The following is a 27,613-nucleotide window of genomic DNA, read 5'->3' on the forward strand; positions in this document are numbered from 1 at the left end:
GAGGAAAAAAGCTTTCAGGAGTAAAACACTATTATTCATTGCCTATTATAATTTACAAAAACAACAATGCTTCTCTTTCTAGTAGCATAAAACCGCCAACAGCCCAAGTACAAGTGCTTAGAAGTGTAAGACTCATTAATGCTATTTGCCTTTGTTTTTTGATGTCCTGGATCCAACCCCATTAGCACTGATTATTCCGTCTACCCAAAAACCCCACCAGGACTCAGGCGTGCACTCAAAATTAAGGCTCCAATTCCATTCAAGAGGGACATTTAAATGACCAAGTCCCAGGGGAAAAAAAGGCCGCACTGTAGCTGAAGGTGGCCACACCAAGGTGCCCATGCCCCTTCCACCTGAGCAGCTTCTGTTCTGTCTTGCCCCTCACCACATTTAAAAGCGTCTGAACTTACATATCATCGAAGACAAGTTTCTGCCTCTTGCAGTCCCTGTGGCCGTTGGAGCCTGGAGACCACGGCTTCGTCTGCGGCCGTGACTTGTGGAGGGGAATGTTTTCAGAATTGTTGTGAGCTGCTTTCTAAACAACAAACAACACACATCTTTGAGAAATTGGCCACCTGGTGAAGCGAGCAGCCCATCACATACATACATACGTAGAATATCTTTGGCTCTACAGAACATCTTTGTGTGCTGTATTAGAATTGATGGTGATTTTGTCTCAATAAAGAAATACATGCATTCTAGGTATTTGCTGAGGGCTTCTACCTGTGTTCTCAACTGTCATTCTTATGACACTATCAAAAGGGAAGTCATGACGCCTACTCTCACAGATCCAGAAACAGGCTTGGTGAGGTTCAGCAAGTTGCCCACACTCAGTGACTGTGGTGGAGGCCAGGGGTTAGGGTTTAGATGCCCACTTTTCCCAGTCCGCTAGACTGGAGGCTGGCCAGTTCAGTCTTCATCAGCATCCTCCAGGGGGCTGGTGAAAACACAGATTGCCAGGCCCCACCCTGAGAGTCTGGGATTCAGCAGGGCTGGGGTGGGGACCTAGAATCTGCCTTTCCATCTGGTTCCCGGTGATGCGGATGCTGTAATCACCCATGATCCTGGAACCACGCTTTCAGAACCATTCACTCATCTCAACAGTCAACCAGTCACTCATCTCACAGGTTTGCTGGTTCTTGTTGGCTGTCTGTGAAGACCAGAAGGAGTCAACAGGAATCACTAGGAATTACTTAAAAAATAAATCGACTGGGCACGGTGTCTCACACCTGTAATCCCAGCACTTTGGGAGGCTGAGGCAGGGAGATCACCTGAGGTCAGGAGTTCGAGGCCAGACTGACCAACATGGTGAAACTCCGTCTCTACTAAAAATACAAAATTAGCTAGACGTGGTGATACATGCCTGCAATCCCAGCTACTCGGGAGGCTGAGGCAGGAGAATCGCTTGAAACCTGGAGGCAGAGGTTGCGGTGAGCCGAGACCATGCCATTGCACTCCAGCCTGGGCAACAAGAGTGAAACTCCGTCTCAAAAAAAAAAAAAAATAAATAAATAAATTCTAGGCCAGGCATGGTGGCTCACACCTGTAATCCCAGCACTTTGGGAGGCCAAGGCAGGTAGATTACCTGAGGTCAGGAGTTCAAGACCAGCCTGGCCAACATGGCAAAACCCTGTCTCTACTAAAAATACAAAATTTAGCCAGGCGTGGTGGTAGGTGCCTGTAATCCCAGCTACTCAGGAGGCTGAGGCAGGAGAATCGTTTGAACCTGGGAGGTGGAGGTTGCAGTGAGCCAAGACTGCACCATTGCACTCCAGCCTGGACAAGAACAAAACTGCATCTCAAATATATATGTATACATATGTGTGTGTGTATATATATATATATGGAACACACTAGTCTGTGGAAAAGTTTTAAAAATCACATTACTTGGGATACAGACATTTACATGGCACCTATTGTGTGCCAAACACATGGATCATAAAACAATGTCAGTGGTTAGGAAATGCAAATGGTTTCTCTGAAGTAATTAAATTGAGTGTATACAAATGCTTCTTTAAATAGGGACTGCTTTTACGTGTAGCACTGTAAGGGTTAGAGTCTACTGTCATAGAAGACCAGGAAGCTCAGATGTCAACATTTTAAAATTGTTCTTAAACTCCTCCAGTGGCCTCTGCTTGCTCTTGGTAAAAGGAGCGATCCCAGCCAAGTGGCCCCTCAGCCATTCTTTGCCTGTGGCCTCTGTTCCCCAGATTCATGAGCGTGTGCAGTTCTTTCTCGGGACCTCTGCACTTGCTGCTTCCTCTGCCTGTAATGCTCTTTGTCTCTTAGTATATGGTGACTTGCCTTTTAGAGATCTCGCATCAGGGGTCAGCCATCTATGGCCAGGGAGTCAAATCTGGCCCTTTTTTTAAAATAAAGTTTTACTGTAAACCAATCCTGCCTATGTATTTATCTACTGTCTGCTTTCCTGCTACAACAGCAGAGTTGAGTAGCTGGGATGGAGACTGTGCAGCCCATAAACCCTTAAATTATTTATCTGACTCTTTACAGCAGCAGTTCTCAACTGGGGCAAGTTGACAATGCCCGGAGACATTTTTAGTTGTCACCACTGCGAGTGGGTGCTCATAGCATCTACTGGGTGGAGGCCAGGGATGCTGCCAAACATCCTACGTTGCACAGGACAGCCCCACCACAAGTAATTACTCAGTCCAAAATGTGAAAACCTGCTTCGCAGAGGCCGGGCGCGGTGGCTCATGCCTGTAATCCCAGCACTTTGGGAGGCTGAGGCGGGCAGATCACGAGGTCAGGAGATCGAGACCATCCTGGCTAACATGGTGAAAACCCGTCTCTACTAAAAAAATACAAAAAATTAGCCCTGGGCGTGGTGGCCGGCGCCTGTAGTCCCAGCTACTCGGGAGGCTGAGGCAGAAGAATGGCGTGAACCTAGGAGGTGGAGCTTGCAGTGAGCCGAGGTCGCGCCACTGCATTCCAGTCTGGGTGACAGAGCGAGACTCCGTCTCAAAAAAAACCCAAAAAACCTGCTTTGCAGAAAGTTTGCCACTCCTAGGACTAATTCAAGCTGCTTTGTTATAAGAGCTCCTAGTTCTTTGTGAGTTCCCTTTTTAGTACTGAAACCATTGGTGGTGAATCATGCATGTGTGTGATCCCCTGTATAAGGCTCTCTCCCTAGAACTGTAAGCTTCATGGGGGCACAAATGGGATCCGCTGGATTGTTATTGCATCTCTGGTGCTCAGCACAGTGCCCAGCACGTAATAAGTACTTACCGAATGAGCACCTCTTCGGTGAAAAATAACTAAATAAAATCTACAATTGGTTTATAGTTCTCTGCGTATCATAGTTGCTCATGATATAAGGATATAGAGGGAAATAAAAAAACTTGAGTTGGTGGCTTTTTGTTCCATGTTTTTCTAATATAGGTCTTCCCCAATTCTTTCAGTCTAGAATTAAAGACCACTGCTCCCAAGTGAGGGTGCACAAAAAAGGTTCATTTCCTGAGGATGCTGTAAGATTTAGGCTCTCGTGGGAACTTCCAGCAACTTGTAATAATCTTTAATTCATGGGATAAAGTGTTACACACTGCTCCCTCCCTCATCTTTCTCATCTTTCTTTGCAGAATCCTGTTCTTTTTTTTTTTTTTGAGACAGAGTCTCGCTCTGTCACCCAGGCTGCAGTGCAGTGGTGCAATCTCGGCTCACTGTAACCTCCACCTCCCAGGTTCAAGCGATTCTCCTGCTTCAGCCTCCTGAGTAGCTGAGATTACAGGCATGTGCCACCACGCTTGGCCACCCAGCTGGTTGTGATAGGCACAGTGATTATGACAGGGGAGGGTTTGGAAGTAACTAATGTTCCTGAAAGGATGAGTGGTCCAGGACCACTGGCTGTTAGAGGCTGGCATGGCAGTGAAGAGGAACTAACATGTAGTGTTAGTTGCTTAGGCGTCCCTAGGTGTTGGAGTTTTTTTTTTTTTTTTTTTGAGACAGAGTCTTGCTGTGTCGCCCAGGCTGGAGTGCAGTGCCGAGATCTCAGCTCACTGCAACCTCCACCTCCCAGGTTCAAGCAATTCTACTACCTCAGCCTCCTGAATAGCTGGGACTACAGGCGCCTGCCACCACGCTAGGCTAATTTTTGTATTTTCAGTATAGATGGGGTTTCACCATGTTGGCCAGGCTGGTCTTGAACTCCTGACCTCAGGCGATCCGCCCGCCGCAGCCTCCCAAAGTGCTGGGATTACAGGCATGAGCCACCACGCCCGGTCGGGGTCTTTTCATGATATTGTCTCTTTTAAGTCTTATCACTACCATTTTGCAGGTAAAGAAACAGGAGCAGAGAGATTAAGCAACTGGCCCAAGATCACACTGCAGCTAAGAGGTGAGGTCAGATTGTGAACCCAAGTCCCCTGCTCTTCCCCTGGGGCGTGCTGGAATCACCCGAGATCACTGGAAAAGGGGTGGTGGTGGGGGTCCCCCACTGCAGCTGCGACACTGGCCAATAAGGGCAGAGTGGGGGCCCTGTAGCTTTCAGTGTGGGGTTTCAATCCCAGATTTAACTCTGCCCTGGGATAAGAAATTTTTCCCAACAGAAAGATTGGTTGGTTCAAACTCCTAATTTACTTTGTCCCGGGATGGTATTACTTTGAGGTCTTTTCTTTTCAGAAGGAAAAATAAAATCTTGCCTAAGCAACCGAGGGTTAGAACTCTCCCTCAGGGTTCTTCTTCCCCGCTCTCTGTTGGGACAGTGAAGGGGGCTGTCCTCTGTTGGGTCTTCCTAGAAGCGGGAGGCATTCAGGAATTCTCAAGGGACCTCAAGCATGTGTTCAGACTGTGCTAGGTTAGAGACAGAGCTTGGGGGTGCTCAATTTCATTTTGGTTTTAATTGGGAAAGGAAGAGCATCAACAAACCGTGAGGTCTCCGCCGTGAGGCTGCAGCTGGCTGTCGGCCTTAGGCTTTTTGCTGGAAGAGGCTGAAGTAAACAAACTGTTGCCATTAGGTCGGCTGGAAGAAGTTAAGTCCTCGCTGGTGTATTTGTGTTTAGATGCATCAGAGAGGGGTGAGATGGGCGACCGAAGCATTTTTTCATTTTTATTTATTGGTATTGCCACACTGAAAAAGGAAATTACGGTAATGGAATGTTACAGAGTCAGCACAGGGAAAGGTAAATGTTTTCATATGACCCAAACCACCCAACTGGGACCTGTTGGTAGGAGAAGCTTATTGGGAATTATTATACCAGGAAACAAGTTAATGGCATTAGGATCATAACAAACAATAAGCAAATCTCACTCACTCTTTCTTTTCTCTTCCCATCAGGATGAGTAGTAATTCTGGAGCCAGCACCAAAGTACACGACTAAGACTAATAACACCTTCATTTTCCAAGTCCTTTATCCAAGGATCTCAAAATACCCAACAAACAACTTACTGTTTTCCTAACAAGCATAAGGAGCAAGCAGTGGGAAAGTCAATCAACAACAATAAATGAATTCTACATTTCTGTCTTTTTTTGAGACGGGATCTGGCTCTGCTGCCCAGGCTGGAGAGCAGTGGCAGGATCTTGGCTCACTGTAGCCCTAACCTCCTGGGCTCAGGCAATCCTCCCACTTCAGCCTCCTGAGTAGCAGGGACTACAGGTATGCATCACCACACCGGGCTAATTTTTCATATTTTTTGTAGAGATAGGGTTTCACCATGTTGCCCAAGCTGGTCTCGAACTCCTGGATTCAAGGTGCCTCGGCCTCCCAAAGTGCTGGGATTACAGACATGAGCCATCGTGCCCAGCCAAATTCTACACTTCTTTTTATTTTTTATTTTTTTGAGATGGAGTTTCGCTCTTGTCACCCAGGCTGGAGTGCAATGGCACAATCTTGGCTCACTGCAGCCTCTGCCTCCTGGGTTCAAGTGATTTTCCTGCCTCAGCCTCCCGAGGACTCCCGAGTAGCTGGGATTACAGGTGCCTGCCACCACATCCAGCTACTTTTTGTATTTTTAGTAGAGACGGGGTTTCACCATGTCAGCCAGGCTGGTCTTGAACTTCTAATCTCAGGTGATCCACCTGCCTCGGCCTCCCAAAGTGCTGGGATTACAGGCGTGAGCTACCGTGCCCAGTCCATATTCCACATTTCTAAAAAGACTTTTGCTATCTCATCTGAGCTTGTACTAAATATAATATAGAAAAATAATAAAACCAGAGAACAACCTGCAATATGTGAAGCCAATTCTTAATATCTGAGTTTATGACTTAACCAGGGATTGATCAGATTAAACCTAGAATATAAAAACGGTGAGTAGGAGGCCGGGTGTGGTGGCTCACGCCTGTAATCCCAGCACTTTGGGAGGCCAAGGTGGGCGTATCACTTGAGGTCGGGAGTTCGAGACCAGCCTGGCCAACACGGTGAAACCCCCTCTCTGCTAAAAATACAAAAATTAGCCGGGTGTGGTGGCGCATGCCTGTAATCCCAGCTACTCAGCTCAGGAGGCTGAGGCAGGAGAATCGCTTGGGAGAGGTGGACGTTGCAGTGAGGCGAGATTGCGCCACTGCACTCCAGCATGGGCGACAGAATAAGACTCCGTCTCCAAAATAAATACATAAATAAATAAAATAATAAATAAAAATGGTGAGTAGAAGTTACAGTTTCTGATTCCTAACTCCTTATTTTACCTTCAAAACTACTGTCTGTGCTTGAATGTAACATTCTCCAAAATCAACCATCAGTGAAGAGGGATTCACTTATATCTGAGTTTGCAATGTATATTATATTGTTAGGCCTCTATTACTTAAAAGTATTGTTTGGGGAAGACAGATTAGTTTGAAATAAACTCAGTCATCACTAATTTAGGATACTTCCAGAGGTCACCTGGTAGAGTCAGTTAAAAAATGGTAAAGCCATCTAACAAAGATTTACTCATTATTCTTGGGGTTGGGATCTCTTAATTGCACGTGTTGGTTATCACCGCAAAGAAGCCACTAAAGTCACTTCGAAAAGCAATTTCCTTAGCTGGTGGTCACAGTGGAGAAATTACAAACACAGACCTCTAGAACAAATGACAAAACCAAGGTTCTGAATGTTATGCAAATGGATACATGTGGGGATAGCATTTCTGGTGAAAAGCACTGTTCCAAAAGCACGGTGTGTCTAACAACATAGAGGCTGTGTCACGCAAAAGTGCTTTGGGAGAATCAAAAGTTGCTCATCTAGTGATGGCTAAGATGCTGATGCTGAAGATAATGCGAACAGCCTGATTATAATTGTTTCTCGAAATGTGAGTGAAGAAAGACCTTTTCCTCAGTCTCTATTATTTGACATACTTTATGATTTTTACAGTGCATGGAAAACAAAACTGTGACATTAAATATTATCATGGATATCATGATTGCCTGTTTTTCATCACTGCAAGTTTATATATATATTCAAGTTGGCCAAAGAAACTTTCTTTGGAGCTCTTCTTTGAAATTGGCAATCCCCTTCTCTTGGACTGCTGTACAGCACTGGTAAAACTTGATAGTAGTAATCACAATTCCAGAGGTACACAGACCACCTTTCTCAGAATGTACTCTAAGCATTTTATATGCATTGTGTCACCACTTAACAGCAACAAAACCATCAGAACTAAGAGGCTCTTCCAGGCTAAGTCTCTAGAGCAAGAGTTTTTTAACCTGGGGTCCAATAACTTGAATAGAGAAGTGACCTCTTCATTTTCACTAACCTCTCACTGTAACAGAACATTTCCTTCAACTATGAGTAAAGGTATGAAACCAGAGTCATGGTTTAGCAGGAGCAGTAGTACAACACTTGAGACCGTGTCACCGGTATAAATCACAGCTATTTTCTTTTTTTCTTTTTCTTTTCTTTTTTGAGATGGAACCTCTCTGTCGCCCAGGCTGGAGTGCCATGGCACAATCTCGGCTCCCTGCAACCTCTGCCTCCCGGGTTTGAGCGATTCTCTGGCCTCAGCCTCCCAAGTAGCTGGGACTACAGGAGTGTGCCACCACACCCAGCTAATTTTTTTATATTTTTAGTAGATACGGGGTTTCACCATATTGGCCAGGCTGGTCTTGAACTCCTGACCTTGTGATCCGCCCGCCTCAGCCTCCCAAAGTGCTGGGATTACAGGCGTGAGCCACCGCACCCGGCCAAATCACAGCTATTTTCATATCATATTGCAGTTGTGCATACATACGGTTTATATTCCTCACTGCTTAGAAATTCTGGAAGCCACCAGATCAGCTAGAAAGGTTATTTAGTGCATTAACAAGCACTAAAGGATATCACACATTTAAAAATATTTGGGGACTACATTTTCCCCATTTCCCCTTTCCCAATATTTTGGGCTGGCATCCACCCTGCAAAGAGGACCGAGGAGTGGGCAGCATGCAGGGGCAGCCCTCCCTCCTGCTCAGACCCACAGGAGCCCTCGCCTTTCAAGGTGATTCCGGCGCTGCAGTGTGCCTGTGTGTGTGCACCCTCACCCTCCAGTTCCCTCGCCAAGTTTTAGCACTGCTCTACATCTTTTCCTAACCTTTCAGTTTACATTTTTATGTGTTGTGCCGAGACATTCATCTCTCTTCAAAATTCTATGTATACGGTCAGGGAGGGTGAGGAGTGTCTTAGAGAGGAAAAGTGGTTTCCGTGCTGTGGTATTTCAAAATGGAAAGAGCTTCTACGACTGATGATAAGCTACTTGTTTCTAATAAATACCTGGGATCTTGCTTTGCTTGTAAGCCATTCATCACAGAGGGGAGTCAGTGCTGGATGCGTCCATCTGGAACCTCTTGAGAGGAGTGTGTGGGTGGCCATTTAACCTTGGGAGCACGGACCCTTCTAAGGCCACAATTTTAGTCTATATCCAATTAATTGCTTTAGGTGCTACACATGGAGATTCAGCTTGAAGTGTGTATTTCTTCGTCTGTGTAATAAGCTTAGTGTTCTTAGGAGTTTAGCGGTTACCATTAAAATATTGATTAGAAATTCAGTTATTAAGTTTTTTTGGGGGAAGGGCATGTCTTGGGGAGTGCAGAGCTGTGTGTAACTAGTATCTGGTCTTTGGTTATGGAGAAGAACCTTGCGTGAGTATCTGGAGCTATAATGTGTGGCACATGTGTAGCCATAATAATAAGATTTGGGTTAAAGGAGGGAAGCAAGTCTGCAGACCTTGACCAGAGTAGTCCTCAAAAAGCCTGACCCTCCTCCAACATAGCAGGTGACTTTCAGACCCAGAGATCTCTCCAGCTCACTTCCACTTTGGAGGGAATGCACGTACCTGTTGATGTTCATGTTGCAGTGGTTTGCAGACAAAGTATTACTGGTGGAGGTGGCCAGTCTTGAAGAGCTGTCTTTCTCTCCCTGGGACTTCTTGATCTCCCTGTAGTCGTCTTCGTTGTCACACTGTATGGGAATAAACTAAAGTCAATCAGCACTGGATTTCAAGAGGTATTATGAGTTCCCAGGCACCGACTTCCACAGAGCAAGGCCTCCTGGGAGCCCCACTCACCTGGCTTCCCCGAAGCACAGCCTGAGCAGCTGTGCCCCTGCCATAGCTTCCCCATTAGCTCCTCAACAAGCAAGGATGAAATCTGTCAGTTTTACAATTGACAGCTGATGGAGAGGAGAGGCACGACGCCATGATTCAACATTTTGAATTCTGAAAGCTGCTCTGCCATCAACCGGCTTAGGATTTAGCCCTCCAACTGGTCTGAGTTCCCACTGCAGCTCCAGCGGCACTCACCTTGGCATTTCTTGGTATCAGAATAAAGTACAGCAAGTGTGTGTTCTCTGGGATTCATGCCATAAGGGCAGTGGCAAGCCTGGACTTTTCTGTTTTAAAAATTCTTGCTTTGGCCAGGTGCGGTGGCTCATGCCTGTAATCCCAGCACTTTGGGAGGCCGAGGCAGGCGAATCACGAGGTCAGGAGATCAACACCATCCTGGCCAACATGGTGAAACCCCATCTCTACTAAAATACAAAAAATTAGCCAGGTGTGGTGGTGCACGCCTGTAGTCCCAGCTACTTGGGAGGCTGAGGCAGGAGAATCGCTTGAACCTGGGAGGCAGAGATTTAAGTGAGCTGAGATCACGCCACTGCACTCCAGCCTGGTGACAGAGTGAGACTCCGTCTCAAAAAAAAAAAAAAAAATTATTGCCTTTTGTGAACTGCAAGCAGAAGCTATTATCTCTTGGTGCCTTAATTCTAGTTTTCAATTACTATCCCATGACATCTTAGAATCCATAAAGTACCTTTTTCTAAAACAGTACTTTGATTGGATCCTTGTTGCCATGATTGGGTTTAATTTTATTTGTTTATTTAGAGACAGTCTTGCTCTGTCACCCAGGCTGGAGTGCAGTGGTGCGATCATGGCTCACTGCAGCCTCGACCTCCCAGGCTCAGGTGATCCTCCCGCCTCAGCCTTCCAAGTAGCTGGGAATGCAAGTGTGTGCCACCATGCCTGGCTAATTTTTTGTATTTTTTGTAGAGACGGGGCTTTGCCATGTTGCTCAGGCTGATCTCAAACTCCTGGGCTCAAGCGATCCTCCCACCTTGGCCTCCCAAAGTGCTGGGATTACAGGTGTCAGCTATCAGGCCAGCCTGTGTTTAACTTTAGATATGTGTTAAGGTGCAACACAAATATATTCAGAAAGTACCATTTTCCATGAGATAACAGGAACCTAGTATGGTATCCTCAGGGCTGTCTGCATTGTTTTCCAGGAGACAAGTGCCAACACCAAAGAGAGAAAGACTCTGACTTTCTCGCTCTGGCTGGGATTTTGCCACACAGCCTCTGCCACAGGGGCTCCCAGATGCCCACACTGTAATAGTACCCCCATGGAGGGCCCAAACCAAAGCTCCGAGTTCTTAGTCCTTAGCTCCAGGGCTCCAGCAGGGCGAGACTCCACAAATTTGACAGCCAGGTCTATGGGGTCCCATCTCCAGCACCCAGTACTGGGGTACTAATGCCCAGAATACCAAGTAAAGAGCACTATAAGAATGTTCTTTCACTTCTCTTGTGTCTGTGTTTAATGATTCTTTAGATTTTATGAGTACAGCCAGGTGTCAGGCTTACTGTAAATGAAGCTTCTTAAGTTAAAATAAAAATGGCCATAAGTAATACAACTATTTAAACACAGAATATTACGGAATTTTATGTAAGTCTTTCTGCACATCTCTCTAGTAAACTCTGCATGCCTGGATGGCTTTATGTATTTCCAATCTGTCTATATATTACCAATGTCTATCTCTGCATATTTCATGTGTATATTTCCATCAGCGTATTCAGTTAGCCATCCATCCCAGAGGTAATAGCCACACTCATTCCCAGATGATTAACTGATTGATTGATTCCTACACTCAACAAAGACTGAGCACCAGCAAGTAGTAAGGAAGACAGGGTGTGTAGAGAAAAACAGGAGGAATAGCAGGTAGGGAAGAAAATGAGCTGCCAAGTATTACTGAGTTGCATTGTTGGAACATATTGTGTGAATCTGACAACACCCCTGCAAAGATGTCAACATTTTTTTTTTTTTTTTTTTTTTTGAGACAGAGTCTCACTCTATTGCCAGGCTGGAGTGCAATGGCATGATCTCAGCTCAGTGCAGCCTCTGCCTCCAGGGTTCAAGCGATTCTCCTGCCTCAGCCTCCTGAGTAGCTGGGATTACAGGCACGCGCCACCACGCCCAGCTATTTTTGTATTTTTAGTAGAGACAGGGTTTCACCATGTTGGCCAGGATGGTCTCGATCTCTTGATCTCGTGATCTGCCCACCTTGGCCTCCCAAAGTGCTGTGATTATAGGAGTAAGCCACCACGGCCGGCCCAGATGTCAGCATTTTCTAGATGGAGAAACTGATGTTCAGAGAAAGTAAGGTCACCTGATTAAGGTCACTGAGGAGGCCAAGGACCATAAATAACCTTCTGGGTCTAGCGCAAAATGAAAACGCTGGGCCCTTTGTTCAAAAAGCAGGAAAAGAGTGATGTTATAAAGCCCTCAAATAGAAAACATTCTCCATTCTTTCACAGTCTCTGTCATGGAGGTGTCTACAGTATTTGCTATACACACTGTACTTCTTTGGGCATGGGGATACTTGGGGAGGCAAGTGTAGCCTCTCAAGGGCTCTGTCTGCCCTTGGACAAGGTATATGTGTGCAGCCCACCAGTGTGGGCGTTCCCCTTCTGCCAATCAGAGGCCCTACCTGTGGTGCCCGAGTTGTCAGGCATTTCCCCAACAACCCACAGCAAGTGGGCAACCCCCAGGGGATTTCAAGACCCTCTTTGGAATGTCTTACTACCTGGATGAGGGATGGGCAAGATTCTTCCTCTGCCTGCACCTAGGCCCCTTCTTGGGGCAAGGGCAGCAATAGTCCCTGGACTAAGACAGGAAGTGGGAGGCTGCCTAGGGCCCAGGGTGCCAGGAGGCAGAAGCGCAGGCAGAACCTGCCCTGCAGAAACAGGCAGGAGGTGGGAACACAGTGAGTCAAAGCTCCATATGCCCCTGCACATGTACCATCAATTTGCAGCATCACAAATTCAAAGATTACAGGAAAAATTTTAAGATGGCAGCCACAAGCATTCAATTCCAAGGGGCCCTGGGTGATGCACACCACTATGGTCCCATGCATGGGGCCCATGAAAAGCTGGACCTGCAGGAGGGAAACGGTAAAGACAGGATTTGAAGTCAGGACACTTTGGTGTGAAAATCCACACACTTTCCATTATATGTGAGCACTCTCAGGGCAATGGGGACCAACTAAGGGCGCCCACTGCCGGCTAATAATGGCCAGTGCTGGGTGGAAACTATGTTGGGGCCTCTTTATAAAATTATCTTTGCTGGCCACGTGCAGTGGCTCATGCCTGTAATCCCAGCACTTTAGGAGGCCGAGGCAGGCGGATCACCTGAGGTTGGGAGTTCGAGACCAGCCTGACCAACAATGGTGAAACCCCGTCTGTACTAAAAATACCAAATTAGCCAGGCATGGTGGCACATGCCTGTAATCCAAGCTACTCGGGAGGCTGAGGCAGGAGAATCACTTGAACCCAGGAGGCGGAGGTTGTGGTGAGCCAAGATGGTGGAGCATCATTGCACTCCAGCCTGGGCAACAAGAGCGAAACTCTGTCTCAAAAAAAAAAAAAAAAATTTTTTTTTCTTTGCATCCATACCAAGGAAAAGCAAAAAGCTGCCCCTTGAACATATTTCTTTTCATGAACTTTCTTGCAAGGGCTTCAAATTCTACTTTATAGGGATAAATTACTTAATGTTATTAATATTATGTGAAGAAAAACATCCTTTGGTACTTTATTTTTTATTTTATTTATTTATTTCTTTGAGATGGCGTCTTGCTCTGTTGCCTAGGCTGGAGTGCAGTGGCATGATCTTGGCTCACTGCAACCTCCGCCTCCCAGGTTCAAGTGATTCTCCTGTCTCAGCTGCCTGAGTAGCTGGGACTACAGGTGTGCACCATCATGTCTGGCTAATTTTTTGTATTTTAGTAGAGATGGGATTTTACCATGTTGTCCAGGCTGGTCTTGAACTCCTGAGCTCAGGCAATCCGCCCATCTCAGCCTCCCAAAGTGCTAGGATTAGAGGCTTGAGCCACCGTACCCGGTCTGGTACTTTAGAATGAATTTCTCTGGTCATAGGTGCCCTTAGGTTACAAAGATGATTGTCATAAAAAGGAGACTGAGTGCCTTCTCCATGCGCACTTACAAAGCAAGAAATATATTCATCGTGGCCAGGACAAGGTAACAAGCTGTACTCCTTAGTCCCCTTCTCAATCAGGGATTCGAAATAGCTGTGAAACGTATGTGTCCAGTCTAACTTTTCTATTGATAGACTAGACTGTCTTCAGAAAACTGGAAAATATACAGACCTCAGACTGATTTCTTATTGTGACGCTCTGAAGCCAGACAGCCTGGGTTAATTCCTGGCTCAGCCCCTTAGGACCTATGTAACCTTGGGCAAGTTGCTTTAGGCTCTCTGAGCCTCTGTTCCCTCTCCGTAAAATGGGTATGACAATATTTGCCTCATAAAGTTATAAGGATGAAATGATTTAACATGTATAAAGTGCCTAGAGCAGCATCTGTCATGGGGACCTATATACCTGTGAGCTGTTGTTACTGAAAACTTTGTCCTAAATTTGGAGCCATCCATGCATATTGCAATCTTGGTCTGTCACCCATTGTATTTTTCACAGTGATAAAAATTACTTATGAAGATACAGTAACAGGAGGGGTTAAAAACCCTCAAAATTGGCTTTAATGGATGATTAAGGTATTCCCCTGCACAAAAACCTTCGAAATGGGCTACACGTTCAGGCTCTGCTGCCAGAGATGCCCCCCAGCTCTCCCTGTCCTTGCTTTTGCTGCCCTTCTCACTCCCTGGACTCACCGCTTCCATTCCTGACCCTGGACGTATTCAAATATCCCTCCTCTACAGAGCCCTGTTTTCAGGGCCCCTCCACCATGAAGCCCTCCTTGATCAATGCTAACAGAAGCAACAGCTGCTGGTTCTGATGCTGCATCAGGGTCTGCCGTATTCATTTTCACCTGCCACAACCTTGAACTTCATGAGGCCACTGGCCTCTTGGGCCAATGAGTGATCCCACCATCAATGTCACCCCATTCCTGCCAGCAAAGAGTGAGGGTTCTCATGTGTTTAGCTTTCTCACAGGCCCTACATCCAGCTGCGTGTGCACACGCTTGATAAATATTTCCTATTTTGACATGCAGTGGGACAAGGCTTAATTACCTATAACTATAAAATAGGGATAATAGGCTGGGCGTGGTGGCTCATGCCTGTAATCCCAGCACTTTGGGAGGCTGAGGCAGGCAGATCACTTGAGGTCAGGAGTTCGAGACCAGCCCGGCCAACATGGTGAAACCCTGTCTTTACTAAAAATACAAAAAAATTAGCTGGGCATGGTGGTGGACACCTGTAATCCCAGATACTTGGGAGGCTGAGGTAGGAGAATCGCCTGAACCTGGGAGGCAGAGGTTGCAGTGAACCGAGATTGTGCCATCGTACTCCTGCTTGGGCGACAGAGTGAGACTCCCTCCCCCCCCCCCAAAAAAAGGGATAATAATGGTACTTCCCTCACTGAGCAGTTCTAAGGACTAAGTTAGATGTTAAGTGCTTACAACAGTGTCTGGATATAGAAAGTACCCTAGAAGTGTGTGTTAGGTAAGGACACACAAAACTCCTGCGGCAGCCTACCGTCCCAAACAGCAGCCTATGGGTGCTCTATCCAAGTACCCACAAGTTAAGAGATAGCCCCTTCCCCTCCACGCCCCCGCACCCCAGTCAGCCCCAGGCCTACCTTGCGTTTCCTCTTGGATTTTGGCAAAGCCTTTTCTGCAGGTGTGTCCGAGGTGTGGCTGGGCGGTGCGCTCTCAGAGTCCTTGGTGGCAGGGGCGCTCAATACCCCTGGCTCCTGGGGCAGGTGTTCTGGGATCCTGGACAGGAGGGTCAGGTCGATTTTGACCCAGAGAGACCTGATCTCATCACTGTCCTTTAGAGGGGAGAGAAGTTCGTTCCGGCCAAAGGGGACCAGTGTGTAGAACTGCTCCTCCAGCTCCTTGGCGATGTCACTGGTGGTCCTGGCGTTGATGGAGCCTACAGGGGCCCTAGGACCACTGCCCCCGTTGGCAGCGGCCTCCTTCAGCCTCTGATCATTCCCGGAGGAGGCAGAGGCAGCCACGGTCTGTGCTTTGGACAGAGGGTACTCCTCCTGCTCGGACTCCAGGTCGGAGTCCGAGGAGGAGGATGAAGATGACGACTCTGTCTCAATGAACTCCTTGGATTTGGGGACGATCCTGCTTAGCCCCCGCGTGCGGCGCTTCTCGCAGGTCACGGAGGAGCGCAGCTCCTTGCGGTGGCTCGCTCTGTTGTTGCCACAGGGCCTGGTTTTGGTGGGCTCCGGGGGGACCACCACGCTCGTCCCCAGCGCGTCCGCGGCCGCGGGCTCCTCGGGCCGGTGGCAGTTGGCGCCGTCCCCGGCTGAGGTCCTCTCGGTGCGCCTGGTGGGCTTCTTGCCCGCGGACCTCCGGGCAGGCGCGGGCGCGTTCTCCGCGGGCGCACAGGGCACTGCGGGTGGCGGGGCGGCTGCGCTCACCGCCACGGCCACGGCCGCGGGCGGGGACTTCTGCTTCACGCCTTTACTCCCAGGGGCCTTGTTGGCTGTCCTTGGCCTTTGCTCCTCCTTGCAAGTGCTCTTGATCTCCTTCTCTCTCAGGCTGGGCTGGCAAACGTCGGGGACTTTCCCACAGTCCTGGACGTCCTCTTTCACCGGGTTGTAGTACTGATTGCTCTCTGACCCGTGGCTTTCATTTTGGATCAGAATAGGAGGCTTGTGGGGATTAACTTTGTTTAGCCATTTATCCAGCTGCCACTTGTTAGAGGATGCCGGTTCAGCCTGAAAGCAGAAAACCGGTGACAAACAAAACATCTTTCATTACAGGCTCACTTAAAAGGGGCCTGGCTGTTTTTATCTTGACTTACTTCTCTAAGTATATGAGCAGAAAACGAATGGGCTGGAAGCAAAAGGAAAATGGAAGCATTAAGCGTGTGTGGCAGCCCCATGTGGCACTCAGGATGCCTGGATGATGCTGTCCTTACCGGCCCGTGGCACTAAATGTCCTTGCAGCACTTCCTCTTTGGAAAAATAAGGAAAGCATTGTGTCTCATTAGAACCCATTTCCTAGTACTTTTGAGTGTTAGTATAAATTTTTTTATATAATTATATGTACATATGTAAACTTGAAATTCCCCAAAACTCAGAGAATTGTTTAGAGGCCCTGAGCATAAATCACTTGTTTTTTTGGTGAGACTTAAAACTTTGGGGAGATCTGAAGGGGGACTAAGTGGAACCTACAATCCCAAACAATTAACACATGATTTATGTGTTGAAGGCAGGTAGGCTGTAGTAATTTGGTAGTAGGAGCAATGACCTTGGGAAGATGGCTTGTTTTGCATATAGAACTATTTCAGAGGTATTTGTGCATCTTTGGCAGCCTGACTGGGTCAGTCTATCCTCAACCTGCTTCCATCACACTTTGCTAGAAATATTTCAAACATGGAGGTGAGATGGAACACTTTCCTGCAAGCAGGTTTGCTAACTTAGAGCAACTCATGAAAGTCATTGGTTTTGAACTGTGGCCCCACAGGTTGGCTCTGTGGTTGAGGGTGGGGGGATGGCTAGGGAATGCCCTGAAATGGATGGGAAATGTGTAGATGCATTTTGTTTCTAGAAGAGGTCTGTACTTTTCAGTTGTGTCTCTAAGAATCTATGTCTCAGAAGCAAAAAAAAATTAAGGACCAATCCAATAATTTCACAGGGAGTAAATGCTGATGTCTAAAAAGTCAATTTATCCAGCATTATGATAATTAAGAGAAAACAGGTGTATTGAGAAGAATAGAATTTTAGCCAGAGTATTTTCAATTTGTGACTCTAAGTGAAATGGGGAAAGTATTTTGGCTAAGGTGATGTGTTTTTTCTTCCCTATGGCCTTCCACCTTTCGAATTCGTGGCATCCATTGTTTCAGAGGAGACCAGATACCAGGCTAGAGTAAGAAGACACTGCTTAGCTCCATACTTCAAGCTTGATCAGTTCAAGTCTAGAGCAAATTGGGTCTGTTGCCAGAGAAAAAATGGTTTAACACAATAAATAAAAATAATAAAGTTTAATAAAATTTTAATAAAAATAATAAATACATTTAAATAATAAAATTTGAAAAGGTTCCTTTGAAGTATCAAGGTTTGTTTTTCAACAGTGAGGCCTGTATTAAGAGCAGAACTCAGGGCTCTTGGCCTCACCCCAGGCACTGAGGATTTCAGAAGGGGAATAAGAGGGCTGTATCATAGAAGCAGGGGCCTTGGCTGAGTCCGGGCACAACTCAGGGAAATGGGAAGCCTCTGATGGGCCAGAACGGGTTGGGGCCAAGAGGAATTGGCCACAGAGCGTGGGGATCAGGCAACCAGAGCTATGACAGGGACCATGGACATCTTGCTGGTTGCCCCAAACCAGATGGGACCAACTGCCCTTTGGGGCAGACTGGCACAGGGTGTCTGGTGACTTGGAGAAGCAAGAAAATTTCAGTGAAGGCCAGAATGAGGATGAAGGCCCCTTCCCTGGGCTGTGAGGATGCGGAAGCCCATCCTGGAGTGCAGGTGGGGAAGGGGGGACCCCCTGGCCCCGACACAGATTCTGGTCTTTGACGTGACATTTTTCTTTGCTTGTTTTCATGGCCACCAACGGAACCGGGGCACCAGAGAAATATGCAAATGAGTAGAAAGACAGATGGTTTTTGTACCTCTGAGTTCTGCGTAAATCATGACCTCGCTTTATTTGGCTTCTCCAGAGAAAGGGAACACGGGAAACCTATGGAACATGCCCAGTGCATGTGGCGGTGGCAGATGCCCTCCCATGGTCAGAGAAAGCAGGACAGTGGGACACGGAACAGCTTCTCGGCCAAGGGGGATCCCTCACCTCCCCTGAGATTAGCTGAGAGTGCCTGAAAACTAATTTGGTGGCAAAAATCAATGGCTTCTAATTTTGTCTCCCTCAACCCCCATTTCTCTCATCAAGTCAGTGCCTTCGCCTGTGCCTCAGCTTCCCTAGACAAATGGGACACAGTAAACAGGAATGGATGCTGAAGGGGCCTCTTGCAGAAAGGGTGCACATATTGGAAGAGGGCACACACACACACGGCAGAACACACCCCTCACACTGGCCCCGCCACTGCGTTTCACACTAGTTCTCCCTCACTGCTACCATCCGGAGCCTTCTATAGCCCACATCTCATATGTGAGAGAAGTCTGTTTGTAGCCAAAACACAGCTGCACACAGGAAAATTCACACTGAAACTTCCTAGCAGGAGCATTAACAGAAGGGCAGAATTTAATACATTTAGTACAGGCCCACTGCCTGGTATGCTTTAGGGTCATTTTTTCTGCACTTCACAGCTGAGGAAATCAGTTTGAAGTACCCACTTTCAACACATCACTAAATCATACTTTTTTTTCCCTCAAGGATCTACAATAACCTCCTATTGCCTCTCAAACAAAATCCAAATTTCTAAGGGGGGCGTTTAAGGGCGTCCATTATCTCGTAATCATCTTTCATTGTCAGAATACCTACAGTTTAACTCCCACTTCATGTGTATTATCTCATTTAATCTTTACAGATAAGAAAGGTTATCATCCCTAACTTGTAGATGAGGCTCAGAGAGGCTAAGGGACATACCCAGAGCTGCACAGCTACCGGGCTCTACGGAGACTAACTTTGTACTCATCTAGGTTTAAAGACCAATTGTCTCCACGGCTGCATCACTGTGTCTCCCACTGTTTGGCATAGCCTCGTGAAAGGGGGACCGCATTCCTTTGAGAAATGTCAGTCTTCAACTTAAAATGACAGAATTAGATCTGAATTTTGGAGAAAACACCAAGAACACTCCAAACAGTACTTGTTGCCCTCTGTTATACTCAATTGCGTTGTCTTTTGATGTTCGTATTTGTTTCATGTGTATATATGTCTTGTGTCTTCAAAAAAGCCAAATGCTTCTTTCAGGCAAGGGCCAGGTCTCTGTTTCTTTAGTATCCCTTGCAGCATCTATACTAGGTCAGGGAGGCAGATTGCCACATCTCTCCTCCTAATAAGAACAACTCACAATGAGGTGTCACTCAAATTGTACCATTTATTCCTTTATTATCATCATTTTCCCCCCGACAACCTCACAGGTTAGGCAGAGCATGATTATCTGCCATTCTGGAAATGAGGCAATTGTGGCCAAGGAAGCTGCAAGGATACAGAGTTTAGTGGCAGTGAGGAGGGGAACCTCAGGCTGCAGACGCCAGGCCACTGGCATGCGGCTGGCCACAGTCCGCCTCCTGAGCCGTCCATCCGGGGTTTCTGCCCAAGGTTCTGGTTTGTTTGCTGGCTCACTGCTTTATATTTTCAGCCATGACTCTCCTCCCTAATTGATCTTCCCTCTGACTCACGCACCAGCTCTCCATCATGCACTCTGGTCCCTGCTTCATCTAAATCCTTCAAGTACCCGCTGCCATGGACCTCGTAGGCACCTAATAAATGAGAAGCTTGTTGAGTCAGCGAGCAACTTGAATCACATTTCTGTTGATTTTTAAGAACGATCTAGGGCAGCATTTTCCAAAATGTGCTTTTAGCTCATCTATCCCATGAAGGAGGGTTTCCAGAGTCAGATCAATCTGGGAAATGCCACAATGGAAAACACAGTACACCCGAGCAATAGTAAGGGTTGCGTGATGATTCGATAGGTAAAGAGGTGGAATCAACCTATTTTGTCCCAGATCTCTTTAACATTAGGTATCCAGGCTTTTTTATTTTATTTTTTTCCTCCACGTAATATATATTGTACAACAAAGGCCGAGTGAGTTCCGTGTGTGGGGTCAACATGTTAGCTGAGTGCAAAAGCAACTTCTCCTGCAAAGCTCTGGTATAAGAGGCTGTACAGTGCCTGGAAAGCAGATTAGACTCCGGTGAGAAAAAGTTGTCTGAGACCAATGAAGCCCACATCATGCCACAGAGAGGGCCCCTCCATGCTACGCGGGAACATGGCATTACCATACTACAGTGATTTACGTGAAACAAATTGGCTCTCAACACACACAGCCAGAAAGAACATCTCCTACGCAACCCAGCTGAGCCCAGTGGGTTTTCTGAGTGCTGGGACATGGTGGGGAGAATACAGGGCGCCTCCTACGCCCATAGCAGGATGTTACAGCAGGGGAGTGAGGAACAGAGGCGTTCTGCTTCAAAGCAGCACAAACTGGTCTGAGCAGCGGAATGTGAGGTGCATGGCTATGAAGAGCCTGACTGTCATGTGGGGTTCAGGAAAAGGAGTCTTACAGCTCTCTGTAAGGTGACCTGGGCCAGCTCCGCCAGACCAGGCAGCACAGCTGTGGAGGACACACAGGGTGATGTTACTTCCTGCCTTTGCCATTTGCAGTCTGCAAACTCATTTTCTTTCTAAAGGGTGTGTGTGTCTGTATTATCCTTAGGAAAAGTGTTAAAAGAACTTTACTTTTATTCCAACAAATACATTTCTTTCCTGCAGAAAGAACGAACGTGCAGCCTGGCTAACACATCACCTGCTGCTTCTGCAGTCCTCTGTGTAGGGAAGCCAGGAATCCAAAACCACACATAGCATCAGGTGACTTAAACTTTTAGGACTGACTCCTTTAGGAGGCTCTTGCCCCTCTCCTTAGCGAGGGGCCTCTGATAGCTGCTGGAAGAAATGACAAGAGCCTCCTTTCATCACCCAGGAGTTCAAGTCTTTGTAATTATCTCAGTGACATTTAGAAAGCATTTGCTTAAAGCACTTTATAACTGTACTGCTCTTTTTTTCTTTCTTTCTTTTTCTTTGAGACGGAGTCTCGCTCTGTCACCCAGGCTGGAGTACAGTGGTGTGATCTTGGCTCACTGCAACCTCCGCCTCCAGGGTTCAAGCGATTCTCCTGCCTCAGGCTCCTGAGGAGCCGGGATTACAGGCGCCCACCACCACACCCAGCTAATTTTTGTATTTTTAGTAGACACATGGTTTTACCATGTTGGTCAGGCTGGTCTTGAACTCCTGACCTCATGATCCACCTGTTCAGCCTCCCAAAGTGCTGGGATTACAGGCATGAGCCACTGCGCCCGGCCAACTGTACTGGTCTTAAATGAGGTTCCAGCCAACACAGGAGCTCTAGGACCTACATTTCAGGATGAAAATAAGCCTGAACATTCATGAATTTAACCTGCAAAGCCACAAGGAGGAGCCTGGATGGATGATCTTCACAGACACAAACAGTTTTTGGATATCCTCACTGCCTGCCCTGTCCTTGCACTGTCCCTGGGACGCAGTTATTTCTTATAACTAAATATTCCAGAATTTCTCCACAAAGTATAGCATAAAGCAGGCTTTAAAGAAGCCTGCTTAACTCTTCTACTTTATTTAACTCCTGTATTTTTTTCATTTTGAATTATCCCCATTAGAATGTCAGCTCTATGAAGATAGGGACATTTTTTGTCATATAATTGTGTATTCCAGGGCCAAGTACTGTGTGACTGATGCTCAGTAAATATTTGTTGAATGAATTCTGAATGAGTAAATGAATCAATGAATGAGTAAATGAAATTATGCTGAAGGAATAATAATTTAGTTTCTGGGAAAAGCCAGGGTTATGTTACCATAAGGCTTTCATAGGTTAATGTTGCTAAGAGCCTTCCCCTCATACAGAGATTGATAGATGGATAAATAGATGGATAGATACAGATGGACAGATGGAGAGGCAGAGACTGAACCTCATGGGAAGGAGAGCGTGGAGAGATGGCTTGGTTCAGGATGAATGGAGAGTCCTGAGCCAGGGCAGAAAGGTGCTGAGGAGAAAATGAGGAGTGTGGGGAAACAAAATGTCCCTGATTTCACAGTGCTCCTGCAAAAAGCTTTAGCCTCCTGAAAGAAGTAGGGAGGGGAAAAACCTGAAGGAACTGAAGAGCCACTCTGTGAACCTGAGATGGAACCACTGCTTTCAGGTGTGATAACATCCAAGGCACCGCTATAAAAGCTGGACACGGGGATGCTGATCGGGCCCATTAAGGTGCTCCCCTCCCACTGAGATGGTTTGTAGAAGTGGGTTTAGTTCCATTTCAGAGCCTATTTAGGAATATGGCCCCCCCAAATGGTACAGAGGGCTGTAAGTAAAAAATTAAACCTGACAATCATTAGTCATGTCAAATGTTTACGCACTCAAGAAGAAACTCTATTTTACTCCTTGTTTAGAAATTAGAGTCTACCCTTAGAGCTCTGCAGCCTGGGGAAGTTTCTCTCAGCCCTCTCCCAAGAATCTTCATGCTCTGAATTACTATTTAATTTTCCCCTTCCTACTTTAAAGTAGAAACAGCAATGGTTTTTATTGGTACCTTCTAATGTTTTTATAGGAGGCACCTAAATCTTCCACATAGATACTCATCACAGCTATAAAAGGTTTCATCATTTTTTTAGGGTGATGCTAATTTTTCTTTTTCTATTTTCACAAAGAAAACACAGTTAAGAAGGTTTTATTAATATTTATAGCCCTTCTTCTTCTGATCCGTGACAAACCGCAAAAAGGTAAGAATCTGACCATGTCCAACCCATAAAACCCCTTTCCCTGTGATTTATGGGTGGTCACACTTCCCAGGCGGTGAGTGGCTCTGTCCAGCGACTGCCCTGGCTGACCCCAAGGGAGACCTGAGCCATAGGTTATTTCCTGTCAGTGATGTTTATAGCATACTTGGAAATTTCTGGAAGTCAAGAGAGAATCTGGGGGCAATGAAAGTTGATGTTTCTGTACTTCAAAGGAACCTGTGAAATTAGGAGACTGTGAGGAGGGGGAAAATGTGGAGCCCGAAGCCCATAGCCTCCTCCTTCCCAGCACCTGGCTTGGGGTCTGCAGGAGGGAGGAGACCTGCAGCAGTGTGACAGTGACAATGCCCGGACTTGCTATCCTCATAGAGACAGAAGTGGGCAGAGGAGAGGCCTGAGCCAGGCAGCGCTTACCTCGGGGCTGGAGAAGTGGGGGGGCTTGCTGCCCTCACTCTCGCTGGAGCTGCTCTCGGTCTCCGAGTCAGATCCGGAGCTGCTCTCTGAGTCGCTGGAGGAGCTGCTGCTGCCGCTGCTGCTGCTGCTGCTGCTGCCCTTGCTGGAAGGCACCGAGGTTCTGCAGTTGGGCTGCTGGACCACGGCGCTGCCAGCCCGCGAGGCCCCCGGGAAGCAGAGGGAAGGAAAGCCAAGTGAGCAAACAGGAAAACACCACCAAGCTGTCATGCACCCTAAAGAGGGAGGAGGCACGCAGCCTACACATCTGTCAACCATGACCTGGAACTCAAAGAGCAGGCATCGAGGTCAAAGTCATCCTAAAGGTTAAAGCAACTCATATACAGAAATAAAATTGGGGGTGAAGTTGGTGCCCCTTGGTAGTCGGGCACTGGTTATTCGTGTGGCCATTTTGGAAGGGAAGGTGGTATAACATCCAAATGGCTGTTTCCATTTTGCTGCTGTTCTGGGAATGGCTTTTCAAATGCATCCCCAAATCCAATCATCTACAAAAATGCAAGGAAATCCAAAAAGCTTGAACTATTTTGCAAAGCATGAAAATGACTGCTTTATTTTTGCCCTAGAGGAAAATGCAGCATGATGGCAGGGATTAGGCAGAGGGCTGTCAGGAAGGGCACGGCGTTCTGCTCTGAGCTTTCATGACCTGCTGGAAGGTTCCAGAGACGAAGGGACTGTCCAAGTTCATGTCTTGCTTCCTCCCTTTTCCCACCTGTAGTTGAGTGCTGTAGCGATTACAGGTGCTGGGATGTTGTTATAAACTGTAACCTTCCTTTGAGCCCTTTCCTAGAGAACTGAAGATCCCTCACTGACACACTTTCGTATATTCCGGACTTTAAAATTCAATCCCGGTGCTGTGACTTATAGGAACTGCATTTCACATTTATACTTGATGTTTATATCCATGCTGAAATTTGCCAGAAAGTCATTACATACTCAAAGATAACAAGAAAAATTGACTGATGCTTTCCGATAGTAATTAATTAACCATAAAAATTCAAATAGCATACATCCACCCAGAAAGTGTTTGAGCAGAAAAGAAAATTTCAGTACTCACATAATATTCAACATCTTCAAAGTCCTTTATTAACAAAATTGAAACACACCATACTGTGTTCTTTTGAGGTCAAGCTCTAAATACCAAAAATGCCGGTCACTCTTGTATGTTGAGTCAGCAAACTGCTTCCAACTGTGACCAGTGCTTCTATAGGACCGAGCATCAATGAAGGCCAGGGGCCAGGGAGCTTGTGGGGGTTTACGGTCTCAAGTGCAAAGCAGCCTGGACATGGTAAAGGACTTGTTTCACCCATCCCTTAAATCTTTGATACGTGCTTTGCCCAAAGAGGACTTTCATAAATCCTGGGTATGGGGGTGGGGATGGAGGTAATACTCATTGGAGCTTTGTTTCTATAAAAACCACCAGACAAGAAACTGTCTTGCAGGGGATCTAAAAATAAAAGCACCTCTTGGAACGGCAGGGTTAGGGGAACCAGAGTGTGAACATAACTTTCCCTAGTGGGGTTTTCATTTCTTCCACCAATGTCACGGTCCACACTGATTGTCTGACAAAATTCTTCAGCAGCAGACAACATCTGCACATTTATGCCTTGCCTGAGCTGCAGCGATTTCTTTTCCAGCCTGTTATTTGTGTCTAGAATTGAGTGAGGAATCCTGGATCTTAAGACAGAGTAGGGCAAGGCACAGTTAGAGCTCAGGGGCTGTAATATTTCTTTCCTTCCTTATGAACAAAAATCTGTCTTTCCTGTTGGCTGAATCGAGATGGTTACTGTCATTGGAATCATAAAAAAAGGACGATTGAATTCTGACTGAACATGAACATCTGGGATCCATGTTAATAGTCTGTAGAACCTGACAGAAACAAGCAATGGGGAAAGGATTCCCTATTTAATAAACGGTGCTGGGAGAACTGGCTAGCCATATGCAGAAGACTGAAACTGGACCCCTTCCTTACACCATATACAAAAATCGACTCAAGATAGATTATAGACTTAAATTTACAAACTAAAACTATAAAACCCTTGGAAGACAACCTAGGCAATACCATTCAGGACATATGAATGGGCAAAGATTTCACGACAAAGACGTCAAAAGCAATTGCAACAAAAGCAAAAATTGACAAGTGACATCTAATTAAGCTAAAGAGCTTCTGCACAGCAAAAGAAACTATCAACAGAGTAAACAGACAACCTAAAGAATAGGAGAAAATTTTTGCAAACTATGCATTTGACAAAGCTCTAATATCCAGTGTTTATAAGGAACTTAAACAAATTTACAAGAAAAAACAATCCCATTAAAAAGTGGGAAAAGGACATAAACAAACACTTCAAAAGAAGACATACATGTGGCCAAAAAGCATATAGAAAAAAGCTCAATATCACTGCTCATCAGAGAAATGCAAATCAAAACCACACTGAGATACCATCTCACACCAGTCAGACTGGCTATTACGTAAAAATCCAAAAATAATAGGTGTTGGCGAGGTTGTGGAGAAAAAGGAACCCTTATACACTGGTAGAAGTGTAAATTAGTTCAACCATTGTGGAAGACAGTGTGGCGATTCCTCAAAGACCTAAAGATAGAAATATCACTCAACCCAGCAATCCCATTACTGGGTATATACCCAAAGGAATATAGATCACTCTATCATAAAGACACATGCACGCGTATGTTCACTGCAACACTATTCACAACAGCAAAAACACAGAATTAACTCAAATGCCCATCGATGACAGACTGGATAAAGAAAATGTGGTACACATATACCATGAAATACAATGCAACCATTTAAAAAAAAAAGATTATGTCCTTTGCAGGGACATGAATGGAGCTGGAGGCCATTATCTTTACCAAACTAATGCAGGAAGAGAAAACCAAATGCCACGTGTTCTCACTTATAAGTGGGAGCTAAATGATGAGAACACATGGACACTGAGAAGGGAACCACACACACTGGGGCCTATTGGAGGGTGGAGGATGGGAGGAGGCAGAGGGTCAGGAAAAATAACTAATGGGTACAGGCTTAATATCTGAGTGATGAAATAATCTGTACAACAAACCCCCATGACACACGTTTACCTATGGAACAAACCTGCACATCCTGCACAGGTGCCCCTTAACTTAAAAAAATCGTTTTTTGGTAGATCCCAAAACACTCAAAACACTGGGGGGAAACACTCAAAAATAAAAAAGCAAAACAACACATGGCTCAAAAGCTTCCTTGTTAGAAGGATGGGGTTGGGGGACATAGATGTGGAGGAAAGATATGTGTTTCTCTGTCACCCTCTGGAGTGACATCTGCCAAAGATTAGCAAATGAAGATGAATAAAGAACATTCTGATTGGTGATCAAAGCCATTGGACATCATAGAAAACCAATCAGTATATTCTATCTGCTTTCACTCAACAAAAAACATGCGATGCTGGTTCTGTGTGCTCTGGGCTTTGCGTGTACAGCAGAGGCAGCAAGGTGTGTGGGATTCCTTGTGGCTTGCACCACAAAGTGACTGTCTTTTGAAAACTGGCACTTTAATTTCTGGGAAAGCGCCCATTCAACAGTTACCATGCTGCCTGCCTTTAATGGCTGCGGTCCTGAAGTGATGAGGCACACTAGCCCAAGGAGGCAGCATCTCCGATCTGAATTACATTGGCAGAAAAACCTTATACGTTAATGTTTTCCTTTCTTAAATTACGAAATTCACTTAAAATGACAGTTTTACTGGCCTAACTATTATTTGTTTTTAAAACAGCTGAGAGAGCCAAGAGTTTAGGTTTTTCTTCATACTTTACTTGTAAGGGTTGTGAAATTTATGATGTCTGGATTAAATATATTCATGTTTCAATGGTCCCGGTAGAGCATGCATAATATCCAGAAACAATCATAGCAAAGATGGGGGCAGACTTTCCTGGAAGGGCGCTGGTAGCTCCAGTTGTGGGATCAAGATCACTCTCCCCACTTCCACAAAGGCAACTCCTCTAACCCATCCTTGCATGGGGCCTTGGGGTCAGCTGACCATTCTGGCCT

The 27,613-nt window shown here is 46.2% G+C and overlaps 1 protein-coding gene across 28 annotated transcripts in view, besides 1 other annotated feature; it reads right to left on the reverse strand.

Moving 5' to 3' along the window:
* AFF3 (ALF transcription elongation factor 3) overlaps positions 1-27,613 on the reverse strand; it is a 597,172-nt gene that overhangs the window by 32,498 nt on the left and 537,061 nt on the right. For all 28 annotated transcript variants that reach the window (NM_002285.3, XM_047444286.1, NM_001386135.1 and 25 more), the window contains 5 exons: positions 23,519-23,705; positions 15,279-16,373; positions 9,238-9,362; positions 4,882-5,083; positions 411-535 (listed from right to left, as the gene is read on the reverse strand). In NM_002285.3, the coding sequence (NP_002276.2) occupies positions 411-535; positions 4,882-5,083; positions 9,238-9,362; positions 15,279-16,373; positions 23,519-23,705 (1,734 nt within the window). The remainder of the gene's footprint in view (positions 1-410; positions 536-4,881; positions 5,084-9,237; positions 9,363-15,278; positions 16,374-23,518; positions 23,706-27,613) is intronic.
* Positions 23,691-24,253: an enhancer, noted in NCBI's record as "H3K4me1 hESC enhancer chr2:100218069-100218631 (GRCh37/hg19 assembly coordinates)". NCBI's record gives its function as "activates a minimal SCP1, AML or CMV promoter by ChIP-STARR-seq in primed H9 embryonic stem cells {active_cell/tissue: H9 hESC(primed)}" and the evidence as "EXISTENCE:reporter gene assay evidence [ECO:0000049][PMID:30033119]".

The sequence above is a fragment of the Homo sapiens genome, chromosome 2, assembly GCF_000001405.40.
Source record: "Homo sapiens chromosome 2, GRCh38.p14 Primary Assembly".
In the NCBI taxonomy this organism is placed as follows: Eukaryota; Metazoa; Chordata; class Mammalia; order Primates; family Hominidae; genus Homo; species Homo sapiens.